At 41.8% G+C, this 13,565-nt stretch overlaps 1 protein-coding gene across 10 annotated transcripts in view, besides 1 other annotated feature; it reads right to left on the reverse strand.

The window, feature by feature from the left end:
• FOXP1 (forkhead box P1) overlaps nt 1–13,565 on the reverse strand; it is a 629,271-nt gene that overhangs the window by 562,064 nt on the left and 53,642 nt on the right. The window lies entirely within an intron of this gene.
• Nucleotides 7,685–8,618: an enhancer, noted in NCBI's record as "VISTA enhancer hs1149". NCBI's record gives its function as "enhancer in: neural tube[5/10]" and the evidence as "EXISTENCE:transgenic organism evidence [ECO:0001131][PMID:17130149]".

A 13,565-nucleotide genomic window follows, 5' to 3' on the forward strand; every position in this document is an offset into this window, starting at 1 on the left:
GGAGGCAGAGGTTGCAGTGAGCTGAGATCACATCACTGCACTCTAGCCTGGGTGACAGAGCAAGACTCTGTCTCAAAAAAGAAAAGAAAAGAAAAGACTCATTCTTCTGTTCATTCATTCACTTAGCCAATCGACACATACGCCATATATGAAGCACCCATCCAGGGCCACGTGTGTGTCTCGCCTGTCAGAGCTGACTGTGTGTGTGCTTTCTCTTTCACCCCCTGTGAATTTTAAATAGCTACATCATTGGTAGGAGAAAAACATGGCTTTCCAATTTGGAAATGATGTCAGCCACATTAGTTGGTCCTGAGAAAACAACCCATACTTTAATACAAAGTTTCAAATAGTCAGAAAAGAGGATCAAAATATTATGTCTTACTTTTGCTAAAAATATTAACCTACACTGAAGGTGATCTATCAAAAAAAAAAATACATGTGGCTATGCAAAACACAGATGATAATGACAACACATCTGCAAGTCCAAGTCCATACAGATTCACAGCATTGAAGAGAAGGCAATAACGAAAGGCTTTCAAATGATGGAAATGCTGTCTAGTCATGTGTGACATGACTTAAATAAGTAACAATGCAAGAATGTATTTGTCTAACCATTGCCCAGGGGTTTCTTGGATTTAGCAGCCAAACTGGCAACAGGGATTATATTATCAGTAGTATTCTATACCACTTTATTAACTGTCAGGGAAATGTCTATTATAATAATTGTCAGTGGAATGATGTTTATTTTACTACCAACACAGCAACTTGACCAATCAACTCGAGATTTTTCATCCAATCCTTCCCAGAAATGGCCAGCATTCCAGGAACACTGAACTGGTATCACTTCTTTCTCCTTTATCTTCAGTATAATATTCATACCAGAGAGAAGAGAAAACACTCTCTTTTATTGAATACTGGCTCAGCAAGCTACCTGGTTCAAATTCCAGCTCCTTCATTTCATTAGTTACATTCTTAGACAAGCTACTCACGCTCTCAAGACCTCAGTCTCCTCAACTTAAGATGGGAAAACAAACTCGCTGGACTACTGCAAAGATACAACTAACTAGGTAATGTCTACATCTAATGTTGCCTGCATAGAATGATTGTTCATCTTACCTAAGTCATATTCCGCTGGCATATAAGTGTCATTATTAGCTCTCCCCTCGAAATACATCAGGTGCACTGGATGCTATCTCAAATGTTAAGTCAACTCAGTAACAAGGTATTCAAGAAATGGTCCAATGGAACATTAGAGTAATAAGCCCTCCCCAGTGAAAAACTCTCTGCCTTTCCTCTTAATGAACAACTGCTTGGGGAAACCATAGAAAATCTTGCTGGACATTTGACAGTGTTTTTTTTTGTTTTTTGTTTTTTGTTTTTCTTGCATTTTATCTAAGCACATGCATCTCTAAGAACTCTAAGAAACTTAATTAATACAAACAGCCCCAGCTGGACCAAATGATCTCATCAGATCACCAGCAGCAAAAAGATTCCCTGACTCCAAATTCCTACCCTTGTTAGGCAAACAGAATTCTACAGATGAGAAAATGCAAGCTCAAGGTCAGTCAACCAAAAACCTCCCCATGCTTATTTGCTTAAAAATGTGAGAAACACCAAGAAAGATAAAAGAATATATAGAAAGCACTATCCTTGCCCTCTAGGGAATTATCATCTAATTCCAAAAGACAGCATAAATTCATAAATAACTTTTGGGCCCTTTTCTCCCTCTTTTGTGAACATGTTCACCTGTTTCAATGGAGTGTTTGTGTAAGTGATATATACTACTTCCAGGACAGGTCCATACAATTTTACTTACATGACCCTTGCTCTTTTCTCAAGTTGGCAGACTTGGAAAACACATGCAGAAGATGGTGGCGCCATAAAATGTAAGAACAAAGGGTGTCTGAAACAATGCTTGCAAGAGAGGCCTTGTCAATTTGGAGAAAAATACCTATTGGGTTTGAGTCATTAAACATTTGTATGTTTATTTGTTACAGCAGCTAGCATTTCCTTAGCTAATACACCCTCCATTACTCTGTGACCTTATAAGCAATTCTATATACATTTGATGAACTTCTAACGAGATGCCAGACACTATGCAAAGCATCAGAGGACACAATGAGGAGAAAGAACTGGCAAGGCTCCCGAATAGATGAAAGTGGTTACATAGCAGGGGATAAAATAATGTGTGAGGCCAGGTGCGGTGGCTCACGCCTGTAATCCCAGCACTTTGGGAGGCCGAGACGGGCGGATCGCCTGAGATCGGGAATTTGAGACCAGCCTGGCCAACACGGTGAAACCCCATCTCTACTAAAAATACAAAAATTAGCCAGATGTGGTGGCACATGCCTCTATTGCCAGCTACTCAGAAGGCCGAGGCAGGAGAATCACTGGAACCCAGGAGGCAGAGGTTGCAGTGAGCCGAGATTGTGCCACTGCACTCCAGCCTGGGTGGTAGAGGGAGACTGCATCTCAAAACTAACTAACTAAATAAATAATAAAATAATGTGTGAGCAGGCAATTGCGTGAGCTGCCTAGAAGGCTGGGGATACCATGAAAGGTAAAACTGCGGAGACTTTACATAGTACATCATCACAGAAAAGTACTAGACATTAGATTTCATGTTAAGTCCTATTCTCTGCCATGAAGATCAGCCACCTCTAACCTGTCTCTTCCTATCTCAAATGCCAAAGCACAGAGCCTCCTAACTCTCTGATAAGTATATTAGGATTCTCTCAGGAAGGCACAGACCATTTTCTAAGGCCCCATCTCTACTCACCCCACTTTCCTGGGCATTGTCTTCCCATCACTTCTCTGGTTCCACGCAACAGATCTTTATATTTACCTAAGTTGGGGTCACTTTATTTCTATTCCTTGCCCCCATGCCAAATTCAAAACTCAGTCTTTGGCATGCCTCAAAGAAACAAACTAAAAACCCAATTCTTCCCCCAGTGTGTTTATACAAGAATGATATTGTGGTGTAAGTACTTTAAATGACAAACTGTTGTCTGCTTGCTGCTAAATCTCTATAAAGGTGCTAACCAGCTGCACTGGGATGTAAGCAAATGCTTTGTTCTCTCCAGAGTCTGAAATGCTTTCCCATAAATGTGGGGGCCAGTCCCTGCTGAATGCAGTCCCTCCCATAAAGGGGCCATGTTAAGTGAGGCAAACACATGTCAAGATATTCTTGGGACACAGTTTTCCAAGTAAGAATCAAGTAGGTGACCAGACAATCTTTGGATTAAGAAATAAAATTAGATGAAAAAGAGACAGGCAGACAGACAGAAAGGAAGAAAGAAGAAAAGAAAGTGCATGAGCATACACATACCATTCCCTATTAACTCCATGCATCTCCCCAATTATCTTGGGACATTTCTTCATCTTATTATGAGTGTCTGAAACACAGAACATGCTCTCTTCTAACCTATAAATGAACCACTCATAGACTTCTGTTTGCCTCATCAATTTCTACACCTTTTTGAAAAATAGATCATTTTACATTCCTTTTCAATGACGGGAAGGAGTTCACATTTTTAAAAAACATATATCCATTTCTTAGCATATGTGCAGAATGACTTCCCAGCATGAAACTGGCTGACCCCTTTAAATGTTCTCATTCCAAATACAAGGGAAAGCCCATCTTGTGCAACTCCACAGGAATCCTTGCAGAATTATATCAGATGAGAACCACTTGGCGGCTCATTAGAAATAGTCCCCGTCTGTCACTAAGGTTAGATTTGAGGACATCTTTACAAGGATATAAGGGGGCCTTTCCCCCACATTTCCCAGAACAGCAACAAAACACTATTCCAGTTGCCCTAAAAATGTCAGCGTGAGACTGCCCTCGAGAAAACAGCTTCAGATCTAAAATGTTCTAGCAAAAGAATGAGTAAGTCAGGCATACCCAAAATGCTGAGAACAGTGTGTATCAGAAACCTGTCGGTCTTGTGTCTCCACTTAGCCTCTAGGAGCCAAAACAGGTTGGCATTGACAAGTCAATTGAAATTTTCGTGACATTTATTTTTTTCTCCAAAGTAACTCAGGTAAGTCACAAAGTATAATCAGCAACGACAGTTGCCATCTGAGAACAAAAGGATGACCTAACTCCCTGACACCCACGCTGAGCAGCACATATGCAAATGAATATAGAAAGAAAAATATACCAAGGGAGAAATGAGGACATTTTCCCCTCCCACCGACTTGCACCCAATATCCACTCAGCAATCACACAGTGTGCATCTACCAGGTGCCAAGACCATGGACATAATGGGGAAAAAGCCATGATCCATGAAGATGACAGAGAAATACAATTAAAATGCAGGAAAGTCAAGGCTAGGTGGTGTGGGGGAGGGGGTGTCAGGGACATGATAGCAGCAAGGAAAGCTCCTGAAAGGGATGGACAGAGAGTCACAGGGAAGGCCACTGAGATATGTGGTATCTACACTGTAATCTGAAGTAAATATAAGAAGGGGCCAGGAGGCCGGGCGTGGTGGCTCAGGCCTGTAATCCCAGTACTTTGGGAGGCCGAGTGAATCGCCTGAGGTCAGGAGTTTGAGACCAGCCTGGCCAATATGGTGAAACCTCGTCTCTACTAAAAATACAAAAATTAGCCAGGTGTGGTGGCAAGCGCCTGTAATCTCAGCTACTTGGGAGGCTGAGGCAGGAGAATCGCTTGAGCCTGGGAGGTGGAGATTGTGGTGAGCCAAGATCACACCACTGCACTCCAGTTTGGCCAACAGAGTGAGACCCTGTCTCAAAAAAAAAAGGGCAGGGGGAGGGGGGGGACCTGGGTGAAGGACAGGGGCTCTGTTCTAAGCCTAAAATTGTAAATCAATGACCTGAGAGCCAAATGTGGTCCAAAGATTTGTTTCGCTTGGGCCAGACTAGACAGACTTTATTTTTATTCTATTTCCAACACTTAATAATCAAGATTAAGCATTTGTTAATTTGAGTTTTCTGGTTTCTTTGGAAGATATGAGGAGAGGAGATCTGGCCACATGAAACTAATGTTTCTCCCACAGCAACAACAGGGTGAGGCCATCTGCTTGCTCCTGTCGGCTCTGGCATCTGTATCCTCCTAGGCAGGGGGAACTGCTCATGGAAAGGCGCATTGGACTTTTAAGCACATCACTGATGGCCCAAGAAACCTCGGCCTTGGCTCCAATGCACCAAACTTTTTATGAAGCCCGCTGATTTGGTACATTTTCAGATCTCTTTGTTTGAAAGCAACAGAACATCTGAACAGCAAGAAATGGTGCCAGTTACTATTACAAAGGGTAGATAACAAAACCAAAATAAAAAACAGCCACATACAAACATCCCAAATACCACGCACCAGCAATTGCAAGTACACCCTTGGGCCTGCCAAGAGTTCCGAGAGAGACACTGGCACCAAAAACACTGAGCTCCCTGTGGGCAGCTGCCCAATGACAGAGGCAAGGGTCCCTGGGCTCATCTGTCCACGCTGGGACATCCAATCTAGAGAAACTTATTTTTTCATAATATTCCTATTTCTCAGGGTAAACTCTACTCTGCTTAAAAAGAGACAGACAGACAGACCCAAAGACAGGAAATACCACCAGATTCCTTTTCCTGTGATGGTGTTTTCCAAGAGAAGATAGGAAATTGGGGCACTTAATAAGTCAGAGCCAGAGAGACAGAAGGAAAACAGGCTCTGGATTCAGAAAGGCTTGAGTTTCAATCTTGAATTAGCTATGTGACCTAAGCCAGGGAATTGACTTTCCTGATTCTCAGCGTCTTCTTTCTTAAAAGACAGAAAAGGTACTGGCCACCTCCCAGGTTCATTGTGAGGGACAAATAAAATTCATATAAAGTGATTCAAATATAGCAGGTGGCACTAGAGAGCTTCAAGACTGAGACCATAACTCAGACCGTTCTGGGCCAATGCCAGCCTCTGCCAATCATGCACTGATGTCATATTGAAAAAAAGAAATATGACCCATGACTTGGGCCCACCTACTGCACATCTGTGTCTGATGTTTGCACACAGAGAATGCAGTGGTCTCAAGCTGGGATGGGCCTACCGTAAAGTCAAGAGAGACACTGCCATGTCTCTTTCCCATGGTTTTCCTTTCAAATTCCCACAGATTTTGCATTCTACTCCATAATATTCTCAGGAGCCGCAGTACTTACACATTTAACTTTCCTGAATTCAACTATATGAACTGAGCGAAAAGAGAAGGTGGATCCGAATGTGACCTTACTTGGAATATGATTGCTGCAGATGTAATTAGTTAAGATGAGGTCATACTGAAGTGGGGTGGGACCCTAATCCAATATGACTGGTGTCTGTAAAAAGGGGAAATTGGGACATAGACAAACACATAGAAAGACCACCACAGGGAGATGAAGGCAGAGATCGAGGCAACGCTCCTACAAGTCAAGGAATGGCAAACATTGCCAGCCCCTGCCAGGAGGTAGGAGAAGGGCCTGAAACATTCTCCCTCACAGCTTTCTGAAAGAGTCCACTCTGCTGACACCTTTGTCTTGGACTTCTTGGCTCTAGAAGCAAAAGATGACAAATTTCTGGTGTTAAAGCCAGAGGCAGGGGGACAATAATTTACGTAGTAAGCTATGTGTTTCCTCAGTGGGGATGGGCCCCACTGCTGAAGTTGTAATAAACAGTAACCCTTTATTTTTAAGCTATTAAGGCTTTCTCTCTTAAGACAAATTGTACGTATTTCAGACTTAGATAAAGAAGGAGCAGCCAAGATGCCAATATATTGTTTTGAATAATACATTCAAAACAGTAGCAAGAGCCACTTAATTTTTCTTCATGAGTATTTTATTTTGCGGTGACATCCCGAGTCACCTTAGGGGGCATTCTAAATTCACTGTTTGCCTCCTTTCCTAATTGTGTATTTTCCTTTGTTTTTTTTCTAGCTGTACTTTTCCACATATGCATTTGTAGAAAATCCATTGTGTGAATGGGTAAAAGTGAGATAAGGCATGGATACAGTTTTAGGAGGCCCTAACATGACTCACAGGGCCCTAAAATGAATTCAGATGTGACTGAATTCACCTTTCAAGTTTAACTCCTTCTCTCACCCCCATTTTATAATTCTGCTAAACTCGAGGGAGGGCAGAGCAGCCGGGATCACCCACAAAGCAAAGAGATGTGTAGCAGGCTTGGATTACTTGACTCATCACGGAGATGAGGGAATGTGTCCATGTAACTACTGGAAAAAACAATGTATGTTACCAGCCGACAGACAGAAACCCAAAATAACACCATGCCATGAAATAAAAAAGGGTAAAAAACAAGAAACAACCTCAATTCAGTGAGTGACGGGACAGACACTTTTCCAGAAGGCACAGCAAACACATTTGTTTCTTGCTGAATGGCCCCAACAAATGTTTAAAAGAAAGAATGAATGAGCCTGGCCAACATGGCAAAACCCGTCTCTAGTAAAAATACAAAATTCAGCCGGGCATGGTGGTGTACGCCTATAATCCCAGCTACTAGGGAGGCTGAGGCAGGAGAATCACTTGAATCAGGAAGCAGAGGTTGCAGTGAGCCAAGATCAAGCTACTGCACTCCAACGTGGGTGCCATAGTGAGACTGTCTCAAAAAAACAAACAAAGAAAAAATAAATGAATAAAAATAAAGAATGAATGCACCTTCCAAAAACTCAATCAAGTTTTAAGTCTAGCAGAACCAGAGGGGCCTGGAATGCTCTGTCCTCACTTTGTTGCTGGGTTTCTACAGGAGTTAATTTTAACTTGCTAGCAAATGCAAATAAATCTTAAAAAAAAAAAAAAAAAAGCAAGCCAATTAAGACACAAGTGTTTAAAGACACAAGGAGTAATTACAAATGTATTATTCATACCTAATTTACAAGATGAACTTCTTTCTGTAAAATATTAAACTGTTTACATGCAGGCTAGGAAGACAATTTTCAAATTGTTCATGTTCCGCTACAAAGCAACGACTATTAACAATGCAACAGCTTCTGGTCGACTTACAGTGTGGACTAGGCAGTAATCAGAAAATGTTTGACCTCAAGATATCTACTTGACCCCACAGAAATGCAGACTTGCCTGCTATAAAATCCTAAACAATGGGGCAGACAAGGTCACAGGGTCAAAGGGAGTATTAACAGGTCACCGTGCGGCCCACTTGGGAGCAATTACTTCCAGTCATGGCTAAGTGGACACTTGATTGAATACCACTAAGACAGCTCACATCCCACGGATAACAATCCTCACAGCGATTAAGAATTAAAGCCCCCATGATTCAGGCTTTATTACTCAAATGAACCTAACTCTTCCATAAAAAACTCTTGGTATATGCCTGATGCAGGGTCCAAATTGAAATGCCACCTCATTAAACAATAATATCTAATTTTATCTAAATGAATTTTCATGAAAGTGCGCCACACAGCTCAGGAATTTTTAAAATGAATTATCACAAGTGATACATAATTTCACCAAAACTAGGGTGGATAAAAAAATTAGCTTTAGGAATAAAAGGAAACACAGTGTTGAATGAAACGCCTATTCCTCCAGGTCTAAAGACAGCAACGAAAATTATGGGCTGCTACAAAATATGTGAATCTATTTTTAAGAAATTCCCTAATTTTCACTAATTTCAGACGAAAAAAAGGCAGTGGTTTCACTGGCTGGGCAATCGCTGAGAGAACTTTAAAAAACATACACAGATTTCAAGTCCTTTTTCAGAATCAACTGGATTTGTGGCCCTAGGAAGTCAAATTGTTTTAAAACTCTCAAGTGATTCTCATAGATCACCACCTTTGAGAGCTCTGGTCTACACCCTGAACGAAGGTCTGCACAGGGTTGTGAAACCACAGGGAGAATAAGAAAGACCTCACCATCTTCCTTCTTCTTTAGCCTTCCCTTATTTCATAATCTTGCTGAGGCCTTTATATTTATTTATTTTTATCATCACCTTCTTCTACTGGCAAGTGATTTTCTAATTACAATAATCCATAGAAAGTTTCTTTTTGGTGTAAGATGATTCACGTTTTTTTTTAAAAAATCAGGTAATATAAAAAATTTATTCATTTAAATATAGGAGTACTGGCCGGGTGCAGTGGCTCACGCTTGTAATCCTAACACTTTGGGAGGCTGAGACAGGCAGATCACTTGACGTCAGGAGTTCGAGACCAGCCTGGCCAACATGGTAAAACCCCATCTCTACTAAAAATACAAAAACAAAATGAGCCAGGCATGGTGGTGGGCGCCTGTAATCCCAACTACTTGGGAGGCTAAGGAAGGACAACTGCTTGAATCCAGGAGACAGAATTTGCAGTGAGCCAAGATCGCACCACTGCACTCCAGACTGGATGACAGAGGGAGACTCTGTCTCTAAATATATAAATAAATAAACAAACAAACAAACAAACAAACAAACAAGAGTACCGGTGGTACTATGATGTCGGTGAACACAATGACCAAAATTATGGCCACACTGATACATGATGAGCTAAAAACTCCAGGGCCAGCCCCTTCCTTCTGCCTCACCTTCAGATCCCAGGAATATGCACATGCAGTAAGAATCCAGAGTTCAGGCCCAAATCTGTGCCTCAGCCGACAAAGTGGACCTTCTCTGCCAGGGAAATCTTTAAAACTACCTTAACAGATACAAACAATCCCTGCTGAAAGGTACAGTCAGTAATAGTCTAAACACAAACTACACATCATATAGAAACCTGCAAGGAATAAAAACTGGGACAAACATTAATATAGTAAGGGAATTCCATCCAAAGCAGAAACGGGGCTCTAAGAAGCAAATGAGTCATTTTAGGGTCTTACATTTTAATCAGTGTTTATTAAAAATCTTCTTTGAATGTAGCACTGTGGGAGTGTACTGCATCACTGCCAAGCCTCAGCCATCCCACCCATGCATTTGTGTGAACTAGAAAAACATTCCCAGCCAGGCACGGTGGCTCACGCCTATAATCCCAGCACTTTGGGAGGCCGAGGTGGGCGGATCACCCAAGGTCGGGAGTTAGAGACCTGCCTGACCAACATGGAGAAACCCCATCTCTACTAAAAATACAAAATTAGTCGGGCGTGGTGGCGCATGCCTGTAATCCCAGCTACTTGGGAGGCTGGGGCAGGAGAATTGCTTAAACCTGGGAGGCAGAGGTCGCGGTGAGCCAAGATCACGCCATTGCACTCCAGCCTGGGCAACAAGAGTATAACTCCAACTCAAAAAAAAAAAAAAAAAAAGTTCCCCTCTGCAGGGAGGTAGCCCTACATGGCTTGGTGAGCAGAGGGCACTACTGTATATGCAAGACAAAATTGTAAAGACTCTTCTTCCTCTAGGCTGATGCAGACAAGGCCCAGAGCCTAAGAAGAAGAACACAGGCAAGGTATCAGCTCCTACTTGCCCCCTCAGCCAGGCAAGCTTGTACAGTGAACAATCCCAATTTCACACCAGAGCAGCCAGTCAAAACAGTAACAGGTGATCTGTGACTGTCAGGCAACTCCAGAGCAAGGAGCAGCAAAGAATAATTAAGTTAACAATGCCTAATGATTCTCTCAAGCATCAACAGCAAGATCAAGGAGTTCAAAATCAAGACAGACAGAGCCCTGCCTTCCAGATGCTCACTCTCTCACCCAGTAGACTGGAAGGGGTCCTGTGATGAGATCTGCTCCCAAGCTAAGTGACCCTCACAAAGTCCTTAACTGATCACTACTTCAATGTCCACATCCAAGCTGGAGGTTTGATGAGACGATCTCTCACCCAAAAAGCTCAGATTATGCTAAAAGCTATAAACACAGCACAAATGCTCAAGGTCTACATAGACCTAGCTTCAAGTCCAACTCCATCCACTACCATCCATGACTAAAAGGAGAGGTGCAGAGTGTAACCAGCATCTGGTCACCTGCTCCTTACAGTGTAATTAAGTATTAGAATTTTTCATCTGTGTTTCCCCCGACAATCTGTACAATAGGGGGGAAAAAACAAAGAGAAAAAAAATATATGTTTGTGTGATGCTGGGCCATGCTTTACAAAGGTTTCAAAATGGGACGCCAAAGGGAAGCCTGTTGTTTAAGAATCAAAAATTGCCCTTTTAAACAGTTCATCCTGTCCTGTCTACATATACTTTGATTTCAAATAAACTGGTTTCCTTTTAAATTACACTTTGCCATATTTATTTGCTCACTATCCCATGTTTTAATTTTCAGACAGCAATTCTGCAGTAATGATACAGACTTTGGGTCATTCAAAGAGAAAGACCACGGTGTCTACAGGACATCAAGATGCCAGGAAAAAAGCAAAGAGACTTTGTGTATAGATGGTTTATTGTTTTTTTAAGAAATACTCACACACCTAAAAATGCAGATCCCCAACAATGCAGTCACTATTGTGGTTTCTTCTTGGTTCTCTTTATGAAAACATGTTTGTGCTTACACCTCCCGGCATTTGTTCAGTGTTAAACAAAAACAACTCTAGTAAATTGCTGACAAACAGGTAATACAAGTAGAAAGAATTCCCTAACTTTCAAACTCTCAGCTCGGGGAAAAGCTGAAGTAAAAGATGTCCCCAAAGTCATCTGGTAAACATGCCTTCCAAAGAGAATGTGAAATGCATAGCAAAACAGGCACTTAACTAATTTTAAACGCCTAATTATATACCGCCTAAACAGAATTATCAAGAGACTTGATTGACTTCCACAGAGCTGTGATTGCCATCAAGCAAACTCAAAGAAATAATAAATAATGTTTGACCTTCTAATGTCCTCAAAACTTACTCACAGTATCAAAGGATATGGACTGCTGGCGTTCCACTCCTGTATTGTCATGGAACACAGAGGTCACAGATCAATTTGAAGTTAGTGATGCGGAGTCATTTACCCTGATTTATGTAGAGGGTACATTCTGAAGAAACACTTGACTTGGATAAACAAAATTAATAAGGGGGCTGGACTACTTGAACAAGAAAAAGAGAGGAATATGGGAAGAAGGCATACAAAACATGTGACATTTAAGATAGTTTACCCCAAACAAGTAAGAATGGATAATGTCACTCAGAACTTCAAAGACACAGCTTTGGCCTGAAGGTGGGGGTTAGGTATGAAAGAAGGAAAACAAAGGGGTATTCTTTACTAGCTGATTTGTAAGACAGTCTTGAAGTATGAAGTATCTTCAAGGAATAGCGATCATGAATGTTTAACTTAGTAATGCTAAACTAAGAAGCATCTCTGGTTTTGAAAGAGATTGCCATATAAGGCAAAACTTTGCACCAGCTAACTGGTGTACTCTATCTATAAGGCTCACCTTAGAATTCAATACAGGAGGCTTTTCTGTGATGAATAAAAAGAAAACCAAAAGTCAAACCTCCTGACATCCGACTCTGTAACTCAGCTAGGATGAAAAAGCACACTCCTGCCCATTGATCTAATGATTTAGTTTTCCTGCTGATGTGACTTGACAAAAAGTTTTCAGTTTGTTAGTATGTCTCAATACTTCACATGCATATTAGCCACAACAATATTCTCTTCATGTTGATAGTTCAATTTGAGTCAAAATTTGAAAGAAAGTACTAGTGTGTTATCTTACCCAAGTCTCTTTGCCCTCTTTGGAAAATTGCATCAAACTCCTTATGACATAATAAGAAATAAATATTTGGTCTCTGCCCTTGTTTCTTGGCACATAGTCCTTAAAAACTTTGGAAACCCCAAAGTGATAATTGTCTTTTTGTATGCCATGGCTGGGCACTGCAGCAAGGCCTCAGGATGGGGGAGCCAGTTGCCAGGGAAACCAGCCACATGATTGCAGAGTGGGAACTTTCAGCTCCAGCCTCTGACCTCCAAGTTCTGACTTCCAGAGAGGGGAGAGGGACTGAAGGTTAAGTTGATCACCAATAGCCAATGATTTCATCAATCATGCCTACATAACGAAGCCTCCATAGAAACTCAGAAGGATGGGATTTGGAGAGCTTCTGAATGCTGAACATGTCGAGGTTCCTGGGGTTGCCACCTCCAGAGAAGGCATGGCATCTCCTTGCCCCTTCCTACATACCTTGTCCTGCGACTGTCTTCCATTTGGCTGTTCATCAGTATCCTTGATGTAATACCACAATACTGTTTCCAATAAACCAGTAAACCTAAGTGTTTCCTAGAGTTGTGTAAGCTATTCTAATTAGTGACTGAACCCAAGGAGGGGTCAAGGAAACTTCTAATTTCTAGCCGGTGGGTCAGAAGCATAGGTGACAACATGGCACCTGTGTCCAAAGCAGGGGCAGTCTAGTGGGGCCGAGCCCTTAACCTGTGGGATCTGATGCCATCTCCAGGTAGATGGTGTCAGAACTGAATTGAATGACAGGACACCCAGCTGGTGTTGGAGAACTGGTTAGTGCTATGGTTTGAATGCATCTCCCTAAGTTTATGCGTAGAATCTTAATCCCCAGTGCAACAGTGTTGAGAGATGGGACCTTTTAAGAGGTGATTAGGTCATCAGGCCTCTGCCCCCATGAATGGATTAATGTTGTCACCTCGGGAGTGGGTTCATTACTGAGAGTGGGATTGCTACAGAAGCAAGCTCAGCCCTCTTTTGCTCTCATGCACACCCTC

This window comes from Homo sapiens, chromosome 3 (assembly GCF_000001405.40).
Source record: "Homo sapiens chromosome 3, GRCh38.p14 Primary Assembly".
NCBI lineage: Eukaryota > Metazoa > Chordata > Mammalia > Primates > Hominidae > Homo > Homo sapiens.